We start from the raw sequence: 21239 nt of genomic DNA, 5'->3' as shown, positions 1-21239 counted from the left end.
TGGTTCCTTGGTACATCTTATTTCTTCTGCTAATATCACAGATCAGTAAAAGCAACATTGATTTTCTCAGTACCTATAAACTGGATTTGGAAATTCAGAATTCACTTTAATTTTTTATCCTTTGGTTGTTAAAAACTGTATTCTTCAGCAATGAAGAGGCAATCAATCAGTCATGGTTTGACATCCAATATGACTTTTATTTCTCCATGTGGATCATATTGTTAATTTCTCTTGAATTAGTTCCCAGTATACAAAAGACATTAGTGAAAATGTGCTGGAACCACAATGCCTATATAATGTTGTTAAAACCATTGTTGGGGATTATTACAAGGACCCTGTTGGCTGTGAGCCCTGATAAAATAACTTGTCCAGATTTCTTTGAGGAATTTTATTTATTTATACACTAGAGAAAACAGATGTTTCCTCTGTGTAAACACTAGGGTGTTCTAGTAAAGTAAAATGGAAATCTATGCAAACTGGGGAAACTAAACAATTGAATTCATTGTAGAAATGCAATGTCCATACATATGTATATTTATGTAAGGTATAATCTATATGTATGTAGGTATATATATATATGCTGGTACACACACATATATATAGTAGATTTCAGTTTTCATATGTTTACTATATCACTTATATACTATTCTTTAGTAAAATGCTAATTAATAGCTTAAACTTATCTTGCTTTTTTTCCCTTTCATTTACTATGTTGAGGCAATATGTTAAGTACCTTATATTGCTTATTTAAACTTCACCACATGCCAATGATGTACATACCATTGTTATTTTCATTTTAACAGATGAGTATGCTAAGGTTTGGCGAAGTTAAGAGTCACACAGCTTATAAATGTTAAGAGTTGAGATTCTAACTCCAGCAGTGTAAGTCTAGCTCCAGAATTTGTAGCCCATCCTCCTACCCACTTTTCTTCCTCTAAGTCTCCTTCAGAAAGAGCTCTATGTTGTGACTGTCATGGAATTGCATAAAGAATATTGTTGAAGCAATCACAAGATCTAGGGATGGTTTCCAGCTCCAGTTCTGGCTGTGTGTACTCCACTCCTCTACTCTTTGAATTCATTTCTCATCTGTAAAATTAGGGTCTTGAAGTACACATTGTAGCATTGTATAAATATATGAAATGACATTTGGCCTAAAAGTCCATACCATATCCTTAAGCGTTGCCAAATACTTGGGAGAGTAGGAAGAGTTGTGAAATATAAAGTGAAATTGTGAGTGAGACCTAAATGAAATAGAGACCCCTGTGGTGTGTGTGTGGAGAAAGAGTTTGAATGAAGCCCGTTGAGCACTGCTAGGCTGCTAGAATTTAGTAACAGCAATTTGTTTATAAGAGTGAAACCAGAGAACTGAGGGAGAGGAGGAGAGCTAGGAGAAAAGAGAGAACAGTTATAAATTATAAATTTGCTTGGTTTGTTTTAAATGCAAAATGAAGAGAAAAAGGCAGAAAGCAGCAAGTTTTAGGAAAACACTGATATCCAAGGCCTCTCCAGCCTGTGGGAATTAGCAAGACATGTTAGCCTTATGGCCCAGGTGGCCTGGTTTCCACCCCCATCTGTTGAAGAATGACCCCACTTATCTGCAAATCCCAATTTCCAGAGCATTTCTGGGAGTCCCCAGAATTTTCACATTTGTTCTCCAGCAGGCATTGGCTGAGCTGTTGCTGAGTATATGGGGCAGCCACTTTCCAGATACACTGTAGTCTTCTCAGGCCTTGCTGCAGCTTCTCTGGGAGAAGGCTGCCTTACCCCAGATGCTGTCTCCCAGGGCTCCCCAAGCATCAGAGCCCTGGAGGTGTTCAAACAGCCTTGCATCATCTTCAGTCTTCCTTACAGAGAAGGAGCCTGGTTATAGTCCATGCACAAGTGAGGAGCACAGCCCTTTCTCCATAGGGATTAGACCTGGTCACCTAGGTGAGGCTGGCTACTGGATTCTGATCTTTCAGCTTGAGTATCAGATACCTGAACTCAAAATTTCTGTGGCATATTTTCCTTGATGCAAATCACCCCTGCAAATAGATGCCTAGGGACTCTGCACCCCACCCCCAGTTGTCCAAACTCAGGGTAGGTTTGGCCAGCATCTGCTCTGTGGGAAAAGGGGACAATTGTGATTGATTATTAGAGGGTTGTGACAAATGCAAAGATGTTCTGGGATAGAGAGCTTTCAGAAATTTTGTTTTGGCCAGGCATGAATCAATGACACATGTTTATCTAAGATATATTTATAGATTCTTGAAAGATTATTCTTGAGCCCATGTGTTTCATGATGAATGATCGACCGACCTTCTGTAAAGCCTTAGAATCTAGAATTAGAAGACACCCTAGAGGCCTAGAGATCTAATAATGATCTGTGCTCTTCTGAGGACGGAAGAGACTAAATATAGGAAGTACTTGAGATGTGTGTGTAATGTGTATGTGTGTGTGTAGCTTAAGTTATATTTCGTAGGCAAAGTCTCTGTATGCAAATCCAGCGTTAATTGTGCATGAAAAAAGCATGTGTTCGCTGACATCTAGATAAATCCTACTCCATTTCATTTTATATTACCCTACATGAAAAAATATGTAAAGCCTAAATTTGATGGAATAGCAGAGTTTTCATCACAAAGTAGTAGTGTAATACTTCTTTTTAAGCAAATGAATGAAAAAAATGAACATTTAAAAAAGATTTTCCAGAATGAAAATACCATAAGGGCTTTAAATAATACCACAGCAGGCATGTGACCTCTATGTTGCAATATCATATTTCTTTTTTTTTCTTTCTTCTGTACATCTGCTCATTTATTTTATTTTTTTATTTTTATTTTTTTAGTATTTATTGATCATTCTTGGGTGTTTCTGGCAGAGGGGGATTTGGCAGGGTCATAGGACAATAGTGGAGGGAAGGTCAGCAGATAAACATGTGAACAAAGGTCTCTGGTTTTCCTAGGCAGAGGGCCCTGCCGCCTTCCGCAGTGTTTGTGTCCCTGGGTATTTGAGATTAGGGAGTGGTGATGACTCTTAAGGAGCATGCTGCCTTCAAGCATCTGTTTAACAAAGCACATCTTGCACCGCCCTTAATCCATTGAACCCTGAGTGGACACAGCACATGTTTCAGAGAGCACCGGGTTGGGGGTAAGGTCATAGATTAACAGCATCCCAAGGCAGAAGAATTTTTCTTAGTACAGAACACAATGGAGTCTCCTATGTCTACTTCTTTCTACACAGACACAGTAACAATCTGATCTCTCTTTCTTTTCCCCACATTTCCCCCTTTTCTATTTGACAAAACCGCCATCGTCATCATGGCCCGTTCTCAATGAGCTGTTGGTACACCTCCCAGACGGGGTGGCGGCTGGGCAGAGGGGCTCCTCACTTCCCAGACGGGGCGGCCAGGCAGAGGCGCCCCCCAACCTCCCAGATGGGGCGGCGGCCGGACGGGGGCTGGCCCCCACCTCCCAGACAGGGCGGCTGACCGGGCGGGGGTTGCCCCCCACCTCCGGACGGGGCGGCTGGCCGGGCAGGGGCTGCCCCCCACCTCCCAGATGGGGCAGCTGCCGGGCAGAGATGCTCCTCACTTCCCAGACGGGGCAGCTGCCAGGCGGAGGGGCTCCTCACTTCCCAGATGGGGTGGCTGCTGGGCCGAGGGGCTCCTCACTTCTCAGACGGGGCGGCCGGTCAGAGACGCTCCTCACCTCCCAGATGGGGTGGCGGTGGGGCAGAGACACTCCTCAGTTCCCAGACGGGGTCGCAGCCGGGCAGAGGCGCTCTTCACATCTCAGACGGGGCGGCGGGGCAGAGGTGCTCCCCACATCCCAGACGATGGGCGGCCGGGCAGAGATGCTCCTCACTTCCTAGACGGGATGGTGGCCGGGAAGAGGTGCTCCTCACTTCCCAGACTGGGCAGCCGGGCAGAGGGGCTCCTCACATCCCAGATGATGGGCGGCCAGGCAGAGACACTCCTCACTTCCTAGACGGGGTGGCAGCCGGGCAGAGGCTGCCATCTCAGCACTTTGGGAGGCCAAGGCAGGCAGCTGGGAGGTGGAGGTTGTAGCGAGCCGAGATCACGCCACTGCACACCAGCCTGGGCAGCATTGAGCACTGAGTGAGCGAGACTCTGTCTACAATCCTGGCACCTCGGGAGGCCGAGGCTGGCAGATCACTCCCGGTCAGGAGCTGGAGACCAGACCGGCCAACACGGCGAAACCCGGTCTCCACCAAAAAATACAAAAACCAGTCAGACGTGGCGGCACATGCCTGCAATCCCAGGCACTTGGCAGGCTGAGGCAGGAGAATCAGGCAGGGAGGTGGCAGTGAGTCGAGATGGTGGCAGTACAGTCCAGCCTCGGCTGGGCATGAGGGAGGGGGAGGGGGAGGGAGAGGGAGAGGGCAATATCATATTTCTATTCCAGTCACCTTCTAGGGTCTCAGATCACAGGCCCAGCTGGAGAAATTTGTTCATAGTATAAATTTGCTAAAACCCCCTCAAATGTACCCTCAGTATAGCTTGGTAATCCTCTGTTTCTCTGATCAGTTTATTCTCCGTTTCCATGACTTTTCCCACATTGAAAAAATATGCACATTAGTGGAGCCACGCAGTTCAAACTCATGTTGTTTAAGTGTCAACTGTATTATTATGTTACTAAATCTCCTCTCTCAGAGAATAAGGCAATGTCTTCCAAATTTATTACAAGCTTACTATAGAGAAACATTTCTGTTTGTTTTGGCATTACAAGTGTCTGATTCTATCCAAGACCATAAGAATAGTGGGAATAATGGTTAGGGCAACTGCCCGGACCTGGGAAACATACTGCCTGGGTTCAAATCCATGCTTCACCATTTGCTAGCTACATATCTTAGGACAAGATTTTTAACTTTTCTGCCAAAGTTTTTTCATCTGAAAATGATCCACCTGCCTCACAGGTGGTTGTCATGAGCATTGAAACAGTGCTTGGAACGTGAGTGGTACAAAGAATGGGCTAAATATATGCTGTTATTATTACTATTATTAAAGCAATTTGAAAAATAGAATATATTTGATAGAAATTTACTTAAAAAATGAACTTTGCTGGAAATGCTTCTGTTCCCTAAAGTAAGTGACTTTTATATTTGTTTATTTTACGTGTATAGATATACAATATACCATCCCCTCCCCCACATTTTGAGGCACCATTTATTTTCCAGACCCTTAGACCATGAAATCTTTGTCTTCACTTTTGCTGAGCTGTTGAGCTTTATGGTGAAGGACACAGCATTTCCAATCACCCAGTTGCTGAATAGTTGGGACCTAGGCAGACCAATGACGTTGAAATTATGTGACTCTTGCCTGACATAATACATCTGCTTTCCCAGATGCAAAAATTCTGTTCTTCTAATCTTCCTCTTCCCTGATTTTGATTTCTCTGCCTACTCTTTTTGTTATATTTTTCCCTTCTGGCTTCTTTAATAATATTAAAATTTCAAAAAGGGACAATACTTTGCTATTTTTAAACCATATTCATATAACATTATCTCATTTGATTGTCACGACAGCTCCCGGAGAAAAGGCAGATTTCTCCATTTATGATCAATCTGTCTTTTTTCTTTATTATTGCTTTTATTATTACTATTATTCCTTCCTTATCCAGTTTAGATTCCACAGTCCATCATTTAAATAATATTTTTTACAATGTCCTAAGCTTTCTTGCTCTTCTGCTATTTTGTCATCTCCTCTAGCAAAATCTTAACCCTGGAAAAAATCAAATAGTTTCCTGGATCCGTAGTTTGCCTGGATCTAGCAGCAAGGCCTTGCAGAAGCATTTGTCCATACTCTGAATTTGTTACCACATCCTCAAATGTGCCTTCTGTACCGCTTGGCAATCCTGTTTCTCCGACCACTTTATTCTCCAGTTCCATGACTTTTCCCTTGTTACCATTCTGTTCAACATTCTGACTCTACCTGTGCCCTTACCTTAGGCATGACATCACTACTGCTTTGACAGGGATGACATGAGCCATCACATCGGATCCTCACTGCCACTATTGCAAAGCTGTGGATATCTGTGATAATTATACCTTTCTATTTTGTAGAGAAACTGCCCTTTTTCATGACTTAGGTGATGTTTTCCATCTGTGCTTTTGATTTCTTGAAACTTACACTGTCATTCATCCCTTCTGTCTTACCTTGATTGTTCTAATTGGCTTATAAATGTGCCAACAATTCAAAAACAAAAAGCCAAAACTCAAATGAAAACCCCTCAATGCAGCATCCCTGTCTGACTGTTGTCCCATTGCAGGTGAGTTTAATGTACATGAAAATACTCTGTAAATAGCAAAATTTTGTAGATGATAGTTAAGAGGCAAGATGTTTGATGATATTAATGTATAGAATAATATGACCTCCAACAAGGGCAATTGGACACTTGCTTTCTGAACAGAAAGATGAGGAGGAGATGAGTTAGGGAACTCCAGTGACTGGACACCTAGAAAAATCATCATCAAAGGTTTATCAATCTTCTTGGAGTATAGATCAGATCTACTGCTCTACAACCAATATCAAATCAAAATTAATTTTTTAAACATACTGAAAAAGGCTTTTGTTTCTAATGACATTTTATTAAGGAAAAAGTAATATGAACAGAAACATTTCTAACTTTAAGAGAGTTGCAGAATCATTTTTCAGTCCTCTGATCCTTCACCTTTGCCAGCATGTAGTAGTGGTAATGTAGGAAGAGACAGTGAAGGGAGATACAGCCATCATTAGCGACCAACCTAAAAACAAATCTCAAACACAGTTTTTAAAGACTAGAAATCATTGTAGACAATAAAAGACATCTTCTTAAGAAGTTTTTGCAAGTAGTTTTTCTCCATGAGATTAGACTGATACCCCTTTTTCTTTTACTATTTAGGGGCATTAGCTGAGTAGTTGTTGCATCTGGGAGGAGCTGAAGAAGACGCTGGTGTCACAGGGTTGCTTTCATACATATTTGGAATAACCAGGACAGACTGGAAAGAATGAATAAAAACAAGCAATATGGTTACTACAATCCTATGCAATTTCCCCTGGTACCATCAGAGTGAAGGACAAAGAGCATTCTGGTAAGCCGATAGTAGGATTTAGCAGACACAAGTCTGTATTTCTCCAGGGCATTTTCAGATTATTTTACAAAGAAGAGACCCAACTCACCATATTGGTTGTGGTGTTTGCTTGGTTGGCAAAATGGGCTGTGGCACAAGCTACGAAGAACTCCAAGAGGGAGAAGATCATCAGCGTGGCTGAAATGCCTTTTCCAGAAAGCTGAAATCATAAATAAATAGTGAAATTTTGGCTAATCAGGAGGGCCTCACGTGGGCTTCAAAAAGTTATTGACTCATCAAATGTGCTATTGCTTATACTCAACTCGCTCCATGCTTATTCTTCCAGTATCATCAAATGCTTGTTCCAGAGGAGTGTGAATTTATTTTGGATTTTCTTTAAAATGCCAGAAGTCTTTCCTTTTGGTAAGTAGGCTATTTTGTTTAGAAATATTAGAAAGAAGGTAGTTTTTTTCCTTTGTGATGGCCTCGTTGTTTTTTTTAATACAAATGTTACTACTCATTAAAAAAGTCAAGCAATACAGAAACCAACGGATCATTCCAAATGCCAGTGTTTAGAAATAACCAAAATTAATGTTTGATGACTATTATCCTAGCTCTCTGTGTACAGGGAAAAGGCAGAAGAATGGATGTGTGGAAAGATGCCGTGAGAGGGAAAAAAGAGAATAACCAAGAGAGAGGAGCATCATTCTATAAGAATGGAATCATGTTATTTCTATTTTAAATAAAAGTATTAAGCTCACTTGAACTCTATACAGGCTTTCTATTTGATCAGGTACAGTGTAGGTGAATTTTCCTTCATTGACACTTCTGTTTATTTGGCTCCCATTTGTCTTCCTTGCTTCCATTACAACTTGAGCCCTAGCGGTTGTTTTATATCCATGTTTCTGAATGTGAACATATATAGCTGTTGCAGGGAGAGAGATAGCTTAGCTGGCTTCGAGCACAGTTCTTGCTAGCGAGGATGGACTTCACTTTTTCTGTCTTCTGAGAGCCTGCTAAATGCTTAGTATGGAGGCCTGCTCCTTGGCTGGAGGTTTATTCCTGTGCATTCCTGTGCATTTCTGCTCATTCCCTGCTGGTAGTAGGGTACCATGCAGGGTATGGGAAGGTGTTGCCCTTTCTTCTGTCTCCTGAGGTCCTGGGTACTACTCATGGTCTTGTACCATACAGGATTTGCTTTATCCTTTCACAGAATTGACTGCTCTCCACCCCAGCCTTCTCAGCTACAGACTGGAGAGTGTTAGTGAGACTTCTCAGTATTTTTTTTTGGCTTCCCTTCTTTCCTCAGTTTTGTTTGTAGGGAAACAAGAGCCAGGTCTAAAAGCTGTGCTTTTTTTCAGCTTTGAGTAGCATCAGAATGATTTGTTTCTCTACTTGGATGCCAGTTTGAAAGCTGTTTTTTTTTGAATAGTTTTTGTTCTTTTGTTTGGTATTTTGGAGGGTGAATTTTGTTCTTGCTTCACTCTGCCTTATTTACCGAGAAGCTTTCTCATCTATTTTTGCCTCCTGATACGGTTTGGCTCTGTGTCCCCACCCAAATCTCATCTTGTAGCTCCCATAATTCCCACTTGTTGTGGGAGGAACCTGGTGGGAGATGATTGAATTATGGGGTGGGTCTTTCCCATGCTGTTCTTGTGACAGTGAATGGGTCTCATGAGATCTGATGGTTTTAAAAAACAGGAGTTGCCCTGCACAAGCTCTATTTTTTTTGCCTGCCCCCATCCATATAAGATGTGACTTGCTCCTCCTTGCCTTCTGCCATGATTGTGAGGCCTCCCCAGCCATGTGGAACTGTAAGCTCATTAAACCCCTTTTTCTTCTCAGTCTTTGGTATTTCTTTATCAGCAGTGTGAAAACAAACTAATACACCTTCTTATATAAGCTTTTCCTTACACTGCAAACAGTGTTGTCCTTTCCAAGCACAAAAGTGATCATTCAAATTCCCGGCCTAAAACTCTCCTATGTTTTTAACAAAGGATTGTCTCAGAGCTTGGTGGAAAAAGAGTGTGCCAGCAATTCAAACTACTGACACTTCAAAGAACATACTCTAGGGGACACGCATCTGATGGGAGTGCCTAGACAACTTTCAGATTATACCAATGGTTGGAGTCAGGATTTCAGAACCCTTTAGTTGAGAAGCAGATGGCTTCATAAGCCTGCCACTCCGAGATCCAGTGAAATAGAATTACTTACACAGTATTGAGTGAACTGATAAAGGAAATGTTATTGTGGTTATTTGTTCAAAATATTGTGATATTGTCTTAATGTTAATATGTTCTAGATAGATAAGGAAGTCATTCTGTGTCTTTCTTAAGATATATGTAGCCCACAGTAATTTAATAAACTCTGCTTTTTGTAAACTGAAAAGCAAAAGCAAAACCAACCCCAACATAAAATAAAATGAAACCAATAAAACCACTCTTCTGTGGTTTTCCATTGCTCACAGAATGAAGACCAAAATGGTTAATGTGGCCATTGAGGTAGGATGACAGCTTCCAGCCCAACCTCATTTTATACCATGTTGCTCCATTCCTTATAGATGGTAAGCATTCCTGCCCTTGGGCCACCCATTTCCTCTTAAGGTCAGAGTCCATGCTTGGCTATATAAGGCTAATGAATGTGTGATTGTGTTTTGAGCACATTCAGAGATACGTGCTTCATTTTGCAATTGCTTCATTCCTTGGGTTTCTCTGTAAAAATCAGATGTTCTTATCCCTGTCATTTCCCTCTCACTTCATACTTTACTCTGAAGTTTAACAAAAAACACTCAATAGCTTGACTACCTTATTTATATAGAATTTCAAATGTTGGGAAAATAATTTTTGGACAATTTTAGAAGCCATGGAGGCCTATCCAAACCCTTCCCCATTGTTCATGTGATTAACAGTGAGATGGGCCAATAAAGGATGTCCTTTAAGCCTCGGTCTATCTGTAGAGGTAACCCTCTCACTTTATTCTATAGTCCTAGAGATCATATGACTAGGGGTGGGGCTAGAATAGAAAAAACATTTTCCACTAGAGCTGGTATACGGTATTAAGAAATAAAACATAGACCCACTTTACGGGACTGAAAATAGAGCAGGCACATGGTGGAGTATGGGATACTTACCACGGCCCAGTAGTCTTGGCCAGCTACCCCATTGATGCACATATCCACCAGCAGCAGAATCACTCCAATGAAGGCCAAGATAGAACTAACAATGTTCATTCCCAGGCTGCCTTTCACCTAATGGAGATGGCAGGAAAAAATCAATTATATACAGGATCACTGAAGTTAAGTGAGATAAGAATCAATCAAATTTCATGGTTCTTAATTTTTGAACTTTCAAAACAATTTTTCAAGTTGAAATTATTCTGTTTTCTGCCCTTCTGGGTAATTACCATAAACATTATTCTGTATGCAGCCTAGATGTAGGGTACTTCTAAAAAGCTGTAGAAAAATGTAAATCATATAAAGCAGGCACTCATCTATTGGATTTTACTAAAAGCTTCATGCACAATAACAACTATATTTTCTTTATAAAAAAATGAAAAAACAAACTTCTAATGAGCATTTTTCTGTGTCAGACACTGTGTTAAATTATTTAAATTATCTCAACTCTTACAGCCTTTGAATGAGGTAGTACGATAGCATATGATTTTATAGATGGGAAAGTATTTAGACACAACATGTTTGCTGAAAAATTTAGGAATTAATGAAAACCCTAAGTCTCTCTGGGGACTAAATATGAACCCCCAAATTTAGAAGGAGAAAATTTAGGCTTTTGTGGGCAGAGGTGTATGGGCGACTACAAAACTTTCCCCAGTTTCTACAATAGGATTTTAACATGCAGAAGAATAATTGTGAAACCAAGTCCGCAGGTGACTTGCTAGGGGTGGCACAGTCGAGTTCTTTAGAATGTGCTTGTGCTGCAGCGTGCCTTAGAGCCTCCTGAAGTTCTCTAAAAGCTCTTAGAAAAATTGTCTTAGGTATGTGTCAGTGGCTGTCTCCTCTAAGAGGTGGAATCTATGCTTCGACAATCTCAATTAGACGGAAGGATCCTTAAAAGATGCAGAGAAAGGGTGCTTTATTTTGTTTTTGGACTGCAACAGGAGTGGTTAATCAGAATTAGGCTTATTTTATTTTAATTTGATTTAATTATTTTATTCTTCTTTTGTCTGCAAGAGCATGAGCTACATGATTCTGTGTTCCTCTTTCCCCGTTCTTCTTTCTTGTACTGGATTACATATAATCTTGACACCACCTCTGCTCTAGTTGACTCTAGTTCTTGATAAATCACTTTCTTTTTCCTGGTTCAATAGTAGACCACGAAATTGGAATAGGTGGGGTGCTGTGACCGACAGAGCTCAAAGTCCTGTCTTACTCATCATTTTTATAAACTCTTCTTACAGAACAAGCTAGACTCATTTAATGGCAATTTAAAGAATTGTAAAACACACAACCTGTGTAAGAGTAGGAAATAGCACAAATAAAAAAATAAAAATACAAGACAGAGCTGAGAAGTGGCAAATGAACAGTAGAGACTTGGTAACTGATGTGTCTAGTATGTATTTCCTGGCTCCTGGATTCTCCTTTGGACTTCCCATAATAGAGTGTGACCAGACTGAACCAGGGAGCTTTTAGGTTAAAGCTTAAACAACCCTGATTTTTACTACTTCTCACCTTTGTGAATTCAAGAGTCAGGATATGGAGCTCTGCCATTTCTTAGTGGCAAACTGTGTGGACCATTTTCTCACCCCAGCGCTCAGACCATAAGGCAACCAATAGATTTTTTTTGGGAAAGGTGCTCCCTTTTGCATTTCCCAAATCCAGCTTTTCAATTTTCCTCCCCAATATGTTAAGCTAATCTTTAAAGGGGTTCAAAAAGTAGAGACAGTCTAACTTACCAGACAACGGGAAAGCTCCTTGGATGCTGACACAGAGAGAGAGCCAGAGATAATAAACTGTGGAAATGGACAAATTTATTTGTGAAATGGGTTAACTGGTTGTGCTTGGGAATTTCTCTTTATATGAAAGGTTGGTCTATTTATGTTCATCTAGTTTCCTTCTCAAAATTTTCTCTCGCACTTCTGAATTTTCTGGAGTAACTCTCAGTCATATGTCCTTGACTTCTTTTTTATTTTCTTTTCCTTAATTTCTGGCCTATGAAGAACTCACAATGTTTAAGCATTCCTTGTTCTGAGGCTTACTGCTCCATCCCTTCTCATAATCAATTGCATTTTTTTAATTAAAAAATTTTTTTAGAGATTGAGTCTCACTATATTGCCCAGGCTGGCCTCCATCTCTTGAACTCAAGCAATTCCCTGGCCTCAGCCTCCCAAGTAGCTGGGACTACAATCACACACCACTATGCCTGGCTTACTTGCATATTTTTAATCATGTTTCCAATCACCTTTTCTTTTCTTTCTCTCTCCACCCAATACATACATTTCCATCTCAAATGTAGTAGGATATCAAAACTTTGGCTTGCTGATTACATGATTAAATTTTAAAGAATGGAATAAGCTCCTAGGTAAAATGGCGAAAGAGTTCCCGATTTTTTCATGCTCATTCAGAGCTGTTAATTTTTCTAAATTCTCCAGCCCTCATTCAGAGCTGTTAATTTTTCTAAATTCTCCAGCCCTCAGATGTAGGGCTTTATCAAGAAATGAGTTGTGAATTGGCTGGAGATAGCAATACTTTATAAACCAAGAGGGAATACTTTATAAACCAAGAAGGACTGGTGTTCTAGCAATCTACTCACAGAAAGGCCACCCCAGAATGGGTATCCACCAATAACAGCAGTAGAGGCAAAACCTAATACTTCTCTAAAAGAGAAGGATATTAAACACAAAACAATTCCAAAACCAATGTGCATCAATCCAACCATGATCTGGATCACCTGAAAAAAGAAAACAGCCATTTAAAATTACTTCTTCACTTTCAGACGTGTGAAACATTACTGTCATTGCTGCCCCTGCTTATTTATTGTCAATTTTGCTGAGATCCATCGTTGTCATTCAGGCACACATCTGAAGCAGGAGGTGGGTCATGAAGATTCTGACATATACTAGAATAACTGGAGTGCAAGGCCCTTAGTGAAACGCCCTGTTTTGAGGTATTTGGAGAATTTACTGGGGTGGCCCAAGAAGAATTCTTCAGAAAGTACAGCTGCTTAATCATGCATTAGCATCTCTGAGGGCCTCTAAAAGACTATTAGAAAAACAATACTTTAACTGTGATGTCAGTAGCTGCTTTTTCAGATGGATCAGTTCTCTGCTTGGGTCATCCCAGTTACGGGTAAAGGAATTGGTGAAGATAAAACCATTTATTAGGCATGAATTATGTGCTTGGTCATGTTCTGAACACTTTACATTTATTGTTTCATGTAATCCTCCTACAACTGGATTGAGTCCCAGAGACATAAAGATATCAGGTATCCAAGGTCACACAATTCCTAAGAGGCAGATCTGGGAATTTACTGCAGCACATTGACTGCTGAGCCTGTCTGAATTATTCGGTACTGTCTTCCCCCATGCTCAGCTCTGCTCTACCTTTTCCATGAAGTCTTCTTGATTACACCAAATTAATCTTTTTTCTTTCTTTCTGAATTTCAGTTGCATCTCATGACATAAAACACACCTTATTACTTGATTTTGGATTCATTTATATTGTTTTTTTTTTTGTTTTTTTTTGGTTTTTTTTTGAGACAGAGTCTTGCTCTATTGCCCAGGCTGGAGTGCAGTGGCATGATCTCGGCTCACTGCAAGCTCCGCCTCCCGGGTTCACACCATTCTCCTGCCTCACCCTCCCGAGTAGCTAGGACTACAGGCTCCCGCCACCATGCCTGGCTAATTTCTTTTTGTATTTTTAGTAGAGACGGGGTTTCACGGGTTAGCCAGGAAGGTCTGGATCTTCTGACCTCTTGATCTGCCCGCCTTGGCCTCCCAAAGTGTATATTGTCCTTTTTTAAAAAGTTGCAGGTATGCAATCATTTTCTTACCAATCATTCTTCTTATCAATCATATATTACTAAAAGTAAGGTATACATCTTTTACCTCCTTGTACCTCTTATTGAACCTTCCTTCATTGTAAATAAAGATAGATTTCTGAGGAATAATCATTTCTAGATTGGTCCAAAACTTGATTGTAGATTTGTAATTTATTTTTCCCCATGGTTACATCTTATCTATCCAGGGAGACTGCAAATACAAAGACTGCTGTATTTATTTCTTCAATAAATAGCTACTGAACACAAGTAAATCGAATTAAAATTAGAAAAAAACCCAGTTTCATAAACAATGCTAAAAGTTTCTTGAGACATCAATAAAAACCATGAACCTTTCTCCCTGAAAAATTATTCTTGCACATTCATACACACACATACCATACTTTTGCTTATAGCTTCAGAGAGATGATGGGCCACGTTTAGCCTATCTCACTTAAAGAACTCCTGTATTAGACTTTATATTTGGTTTTTACAACTGTTCTTTAGAGCAGCAATTCAGCCGTCTGGTCACAAACTTCCCATTCTCATCCTTGCTGTCACCTTGATGAGGGGCAGTTAGATCTGGATTTGTACTGGCCCTCATTTCTCCTCCTACAGCCCTGGCTGTACCATCTACTGATCAAAATTGCCTATAGGACAGACTTAAAAATTTGGACATACAATTTGTCTGCATTTTTGGCCACAGAAGCACTTTAAGGTCTGAGTTGACTGGTACAGGTGTGCCAAGTCCTGCCACCTGTGGCCCCTGCACTGTCATGATGCCCAGGGCCTGCTGATGGCATAGAAATAACAAATCTTCAGAGAGAGGAAGTAGCTTCTGCCAACTGGAGATTTTGAAAACAAAACTTCACATTCTTTTAAAGTATTTTTATCACACGCCTCTTCGGTGCCGGGCAGCATGCTTCAGTGGTTCCTCATCCACCCAGTCAAAGCCAAAGCCTTCTGCTCTGCAGGCCTCACCACCTGTGGCCTCTGCCACTCATCTGCCCTCCTGACAACTGCCCCCTCCCTCACTCATTCTGTTCTATTTTATTGGCCTCCTCCCGGTTCTTCAAATACCTCAAAGACATTTTCATCTAAAGACTTTTACACTGGTTGTTTTCTCTTTCCCTAATATCTGCAGGGCTCACTCCTAACTTCAGGTTTTTGCTCAAATGTCATGTTCTAAGGAAAGCCCATTCTGACCACCTTGAAATTGCTGCCTCCTCACTGCCTAGTACTTTTTAGCCCTTTTACACTTCTTTGTTTTGTCTATATCATTCGACACCTTCTAACACACTAAGTACTTTACTTCCTTATTATGTATACAGTCTGATTTCCCCCTCTAGGGCGTAAGTTCTGTGAGGGCAGAGATTGCACCTCCTTTGTGCTTAATGATATTCCAAGCACCTGTGTGGGGCTGGCTGTATGGGGTGTTAGTTTGTCCCATTGGCTTATTAGGAGCAGGGAATTTCCTCTATCTGGGAGGAGGAGGATCAGAAGGGCCACCTCCACAGCTTAGTAAATAGGCTGCTGCAGGAGAACTTATGCTCATTTTTACTTCCCTAAAACATCACAACTTGAAATACATAGTAAGATGGCTAGAAGAGTTTCTGGCACATAATGAGCATTCATTTACGGAATGCTCCAGCAGAGCATTTTGAGCTATTCACAGGGAGAGACTTAATATAATTTGGTGGAATTGTGCTAGCGGGATGAATGATGTATTTGGAAAGCACGGAGAAGGGACTAACAATTCTACCTAGGCAGGTGGAATTTTCTTACAAGTAGGGCATTTTTGTTTTTACAATGCCTACAGAAACAAGGCAGTCAGTTCAGAGTCTCCTTTGTAGAAGTAAGGTGACAGTTAAACTGTAGCATCTCTAAGGGTATTGGTGAAAGAGGCATAGCAGATGGAATGTCCCCCAATTCTTTCACACTCAGCCTTTCCCAGACTGCCCATTTGTAGTTTCCTTTTCTGGGGGCAGCCATCATTGTTCATTGTTATGTAAATTCACCTTTATGCAAAAACCAGACTTGTAACTAATCCAGAGATGGGATTGAGATTGTCCAAAAAGTCCTTTGAAGAAATGAGATCAAGCTAGATGTAACAGTGCTTCTGTCACGTCAATATTACCAAATTCTCCAGCTAGGGAGGCTCCTCTGTGTCTTGTTATATTTTTGCTTGATCTAAAATGAAATGAACTCAAGGGAAAGTCTATAGGCAGACTAAATATTTCTGTCTAAAAGAGATAATTTCAGAATAACGTTCAGAACTTTTTAGCAATTGGATGATACTCTCCTATAACTTATAAGAAGACCTTGCAAATGTGAAATTAAAATTCTGGTAGTAAATAGACTTACCCCTAGTGCCTTTGCTTCTTCTTTAAAGTTCATTACTGCTGTTCCCACACTTGGATTTATCATTTGTATATTTCCTTGACCCGGTTGACTGCTAGCAAAGATTCCCGGAGATGTGATGCCGTAGGGCTGAGCACGCTGAGCACCCTGAGCTTGGTTTTCTAAGTTGATTGAACCCAGAGGCTGTTGAAATCCAGGAGCCATAAAGCTGCTTGGTGGGTAAGGGTTGGGTATGGTTTCATTTACTTCAGCATGGCTTGTTGGCTTGGATGACATCATTATGTCCTAAGTATCACAAAACATACAAAAGTGATACGTTTATCCAGAAAAGAAACTAAAGAAAATCTTACCAAATGTCAAATGTCAATTATCTATGCAAATGGAGAGAACAAGTGAGCAGATAATGGGCCATAACAACTGATAGAAACATGATTCTCATAAGTCCCCAACCCCCACGCCAAGGACTGGTACCTGTCTGTGGTCTGTTGGAAACCTGGCTGCACTACATGAGGTAAGCAGCAGGCAAGCATTACTGCCTGAGCTCTGCCTCCTATCAGACCAGCATGGCATTGGATTCTCATAGCAGCATGAACCCTACTGTGAACTGCACATGTTGGGGATCTAGGTTGCATGCTCCTTATGAGACTCTAATTCCTGATGACCTGAGGTGGAATAGTTTCATCCTGAAACCATCCCTCATTAGAGAGATGCTATGCTGCCAACTGTGAAGTTGGAGGAAGGCGTCCATGAACCAAGGTGTATGGGTCGCCTCTAGAAGCTGGATGAAACAAGGAAACAGATTCTTCCCTAGAGTCTCCAGGAAGGAACATGACTCTGCTGACACCTTGAACTTAGTCTAGTGAGCTGGTATTGGAATTCTGACCTACAGAACTGTCAGATAAAAAAATTATATTGTTTTAAGCCACTACATTTGTGGTAGTTTGTTATATCAACAAATAGAAAACTAATACAGGGGCCAAGTAATACAATACTTGTATGGCAAGGAGGGCAGTCCAAGATTAAAATTGTTTGCCAGTAATTGGGAAACTAGATAGTTCACATATGCCCACTTAAGATGATTCTTCTGTTCTTTAGGAAAAATGCTTTTATTCATTTCTGTCCTTCTGAAAGCTTAGAGCATCTCAGGCCCCATGTAGGCAAGGGAAATTTTGTTGGAAATAAGCCAGTACAACTGAATATGGACAACAATGACTATTAATTCTTGAAAAAAATTATGACACTTAAAAAATTTGTCTTTAGCCTTAGATTCCTTTTTTTGAGGTCTTCAAAAGCACAACAATTTTCTTGTGCTTATGAATATCAAGAAAGTTAGAGTGATGAATGTCTCATTCTTGGTATGAAGTATGAATACTATGAATAACCTATTGGTACAATGTATCACTGGTATCTAACAAGGACACATATGCAGACCCTGTGCTCATAGAATCCAGAAATTTTAGGGTAGAAAAGACCCTTTCCATTTATCCTGTCTCATTCCCCTTGATTTACAGATGAGAAATTGAAGCTGAGTCGTTAAGTGACATGCTCAAGGTTACACAGAAAACATGTGGCAGAGTTAGGACTTGAAAATGGGATTCTTGGCTGTTGGTTCAGAATCCCCCTCCATGCAGCATCACTCTGGACATTTGCAGCTTGTTTTCCAGGCCAGCCTTGGTGACAGGGTATTGACTCTGCTCCTGCAACTACCCAACAACAAAACTTCTGTCTTCTGATGCCATGGAGAGGAGTTTATAAACCGGATTAACTTCTTTGTGATTGAGTGAGTTAGTAAGGATTCTCTTTAGCAAGCTTTAGGTGAGGTGTATAGAGAGCTAACATTTATTAAAGACTTATTATAGGCACAGTAGGGTCTGTATAGTGTCATGTTTAGGAACATGAACTTGGGATCTAACTCCAACTTTGTGTCTTTGGCAAGTTTGTTAACCTCTCTTTGCCTTTGTTTTCTGTCTGTAAAATAGAGCTAATAAGACTACCTTCCTTAGAGAGTCAGTTTGAGTATTAAAGAGTTATTCTCTGCAAAGTATGTGGAATTGTGCCGATTACAGGGTTGGCTCTATTATTATTTCTATGTTAAGTGCATGAGATACATTATCTCTGTACCCTTTACAGAACCCCATGAGATAGGTACTCTACTAAAATCCCCATTTCACAATGAGAGAATTTAATCCAGAACCTGTACTCATAACCCTTACCCTCCGATACTAGATGCAACTGAAAATGGTTGAAAACTCAATGAAAAGGGAGAAAACATCTTTCTGAAATATCTGATTACAGAGGAATTTTTTTTTTCAAAATGGAAACACATCCAGCACTTTAGGAGGCCGAGGCGGGCAGATCCCGAGGTCAGGAGATCGAGACCATCCTGGCTAACATGGTGAAACCCCGTCTCTACTAAAAATACAAAAAAAAAAAAAAAATTAGCCGGGTGTAGTGGTGGTCGCCTGTAGTCCCAGCTACATGGGAGGCTGAGGCAGGAGAATGGTGTGAACCCGGGAGGTGGAGCTTGCAGTGAGCCGAGATCGTGCCACTGCACTCCAACCTGGGTGACAGAGCGAGACTCCATCTCAAAAAAAAAAAAAATGTAAACACATTTGAGCCCACAAAAGTTTATTTTAAACAAGGAAAAAGGAAACAAGTCCATAGCTGTGACTCTTGGAGTAACACCACGTAACTCTCAATAGCATTTGAGAATGTGAGGTTATACATCCTATGGATCTGGTTTCGGTGGCCAAATATTGCTCAAGCCCTCTTTTCTAATCTTCAATCTGCTACTTCACTAAGTCTGGGACTTTAAGCAAGTTTCTTAATGAAATCCCTGTTAGTTCCTATGTCTCAACTGTAAAATGACAGAAGGTACCTAAGGAGGCTAGTCTAAAGTTCAAATTATCCTAATTTATGCAAAACTGTTGGAACAGTGCCTAGCACATGGCAAGAGCTTAAAAAGGAACTATTATTTTATTATTAGATCCCAAGGTATTCTATCTTGTTTTAGGCAGTGGATGTGGCCATAGGAAAAGTTTATAAAAGGAATTGAACAGGGTCAATTTCAAGAGCAAAGAAATAGGAGATGGGTACTCAGAGTACAGTAATTAACCAGAACAAGAATTTTTTTGAGCTTTTAAAAAGCATACAATTAAAGAATTGTCCACGTTTCTGCATGTATATGATTTCATTACATTCTCCTTTGCTGTTGATCATTGCTTTTTTTTTGTCTCGAGAAATTTTATGAGGAAAACTCAATACTTTTCATTTATTTATCAACAGTTTCTCCTTTCATATCTGCTGTTTAGTTTCTGGACTAAGATCTGTAAATTTCACATAGAACCCAGATTATTCATGGCTAGGTCTATAGTTATTAGGACTCAGAATACATTTTTACTGGGTCAAGTTCTGGTTTTATAAAAGGAATTAAAGACAGAGCCAGCCAGTTCTGATTCTTTAATTATTCAATTGAAATGAAGACAATTCTGTAAATGATACATGAGAAGGGAAACTAATAAATAGACTCCTTTTATAGATTCCACCTATTGACTTAGTAGGATTGTTCTCTTGACAGTTGACAAAATATTTACCCCTAGTTGTCCTTTTTTTAAAAATAAGAATTAGAACAACTGCAATTATTTTTAAGAACAAGGAACACATAAAAATATTGGAGCTCTGATGAGATCAAAAGTATAAGACTAAAGCAATTAGAGAAAACCTCAGCAATTTGCTCTGTGATTACATTATTTCAAATAAAAATGGGAAAAATTTACTTCTTTATAGTTTCTTTCTACCTCATTTTCATGCTAACTTCACTTTTGACAGAGTGAAGATGATTATTATTTTCAAGAGTACTTTATAGCATAAAGCAAAACATGAAACCGAATCATTTTCACAAAATCACCCAGTACATCCACAGGTATACACTTATATCACCTTTCACAAAATGCTGATCTGGTGAAAATGAATGTTCTTTCCCTACCTATTTTAATTTTAATTGTTTTCTTGTCAGAAAGAAGTACCTTAATTAAAATGTGTTACAAAGCCAAGGGCTCCAGTATTACTTCTGTGTTCTATGTTGTCCCTGTGGTAGCCACATAATCATCAAGTGCCCAGTGGGGCATGGCCTCGTCCTTTTGGGCCCATGTTCATGGAATGGCATACAGTTGAACCTATTATTCACCTTTCTTAGCATTAGCTTTTTTTTTTTTTTTTTTTAAGATGGAGTTTCACTCTTGTCACCCAGGCTGGAGTGCAATGGAGCGATCTCGGCTCACTGCAACCTCCGCCTCCCGAGTTCACGTGATTCTCCTGCCTCAGCCCCCCGAGTAGCTGGGATTACAGGCACCTGCCACTACGCCCAGCTAATTTTTGTATTTTTAGTGGAGATGGGGTTTCACCATGTTAGGCAGGCTGGTCTCGAACTCCTGACCTCAGGTGATTCTCCTGCCTCGGCCTCCCAAAGAGCTGGGTTTACAGGTGTGAGCCACCGCACCCAGCGAGCATTAGCTTTTTTTTTCTTTTTGCAGTCCGTTTTATCTCTTGTACAGCAACCAACTTACTTTTTCATTCCTCTTCTGTTTTGTTTCTTTCTTGTTTCGTTCATGGTTTTATTCTCCCTCATTTTTCAACTGGCCTCAACATAGAGTCAAGAACTTGTCTTCATCCCTCCAATCTAGAGAACAGAACCCACACAGGTAGACCAGCCACAGTTTGTGCCCATTGATTTGGAGGAGAGATAGGCAAGAACGTATCAATGGACTTACTTTGTTCCTTTGGCACCTCTATGTTTCCTCTTTCTCTGCTCCAACCTGTGTGCCAGTATCAGATATTTACCTG

General features: G+C 40.4%; 1 protein-coding gene across 3 annotated transcripts, besides 2 other annotated features; it reads right to left on the bottom strand.

Moving 5' to 3' along the window:
* Positions 1-6564: 6564 nt before the first annotated feature.
* Positions 6565-21217, bottom strand: MS4A12 (membrane spanning 4-domains A12). 3 transcript variants are annotated; one of them, XM_011545117.3, is made up of 8 exons: positions 21167-21217; positions 20963-21075; positions 16401-16682; positions 12813-12950; positions 11956-12012; positions 10178-10294; positions 7157-7267; positions 6565-6975 (listed from the first exon to the last, which is right to left on the bottom strand). In XM_011545117.3, exons 3-8 carry the CDS (start codon positions 16674-16676, stop codon positions 6871-6873), a joined length of 804 nt encoding a protein of 267 aa, XP_011543419.1. In that variant the 5' UTR covers positions 16677-16682; positions 20963-21075; positions 21167-21217; the 3' UTR covers positions 6565-6870. The 3 variants fall into 3 exon arrangements, with proteins under 3 accessions (XP_011543419.1, NP_060186.2, NP_001157942.1); NM_017716.3 differs by lacking the exon at positions 20963-21075; NM_001164470.2 differs by lacking the exons at positions 12813-12950; positions 20963-21075.
* Positions 14625-14754: an enhancer, noted in NCBI's record as "active region_4772". NCBI's record gives its function as "activates an Ori minimal core promoter by ATAC-STARR-seq in GM12878 lymphoblastoid cells {active_cell/tissue: GM12878}" and the evidence as "EXISTENCE:reporter gene assay evidence [ECO:0000049][PMID:35858748]".
* Positions 14765-15034: an enhancer, noted in NCBI's record as "active region_4771". NCBI's record gives its function as "activates an Ori minimal core promoter by ATAC-STARR-seq in GM12878 lymphoblastoid cells {active_cell/tissue: GM12878}" and the evidence as "EXISTENCE:reporter gene assay evidence [ECO:0000049][PMID:35858748]".
* Positions 21218-21239: the final 22 nt, after the last annotated feature.

Source organism: Homo sapiens, chromosome 11 (genome assembly GCF_000001405.40).
Source record: "Homo sapiens chromosome 11, GRCh38.p14 Primary Assembly".
Classification (NCBI taxonomy): Eukaryota; Metazoa; Chordata; class Mammalia; order Primates; family Hominidae; genus Homo; species Homo sapiens.
The sequence above is the reverse complement of the archived record's forward strand: the minus strand, read 5'-3'. Positions and strand labels throughout refer to the sequence as shown.

What these genes read in the sequence shown, in the direction of transcription:
- MS4A12 (XM_011545117.3), bottom strand. Translation starts at nt 16,676, where the DNA reads ATGATGTCATCCAAGCCAACAAGCCATGCTGAAGTAAATGAAACCATA. An exon ending in CATTCTGGGGTGGCCTTTCT is followed by an intron (nt 12,013 to 12,812) that starts GTGAGTAGATTG and finishes CCATTTCCACAG; the next exon opens with TTTATTATCTCTGGCTCTCT. An exon ending in AGGAGCTTTCCCGTTGTCTG is followed by an intron (nt 10,295 to 11,955) that starts GTAAGTTAGACT and finishes CATCTCCATTAG; the next exon opens with GTGAAAGGCAGCCTGGGAAT.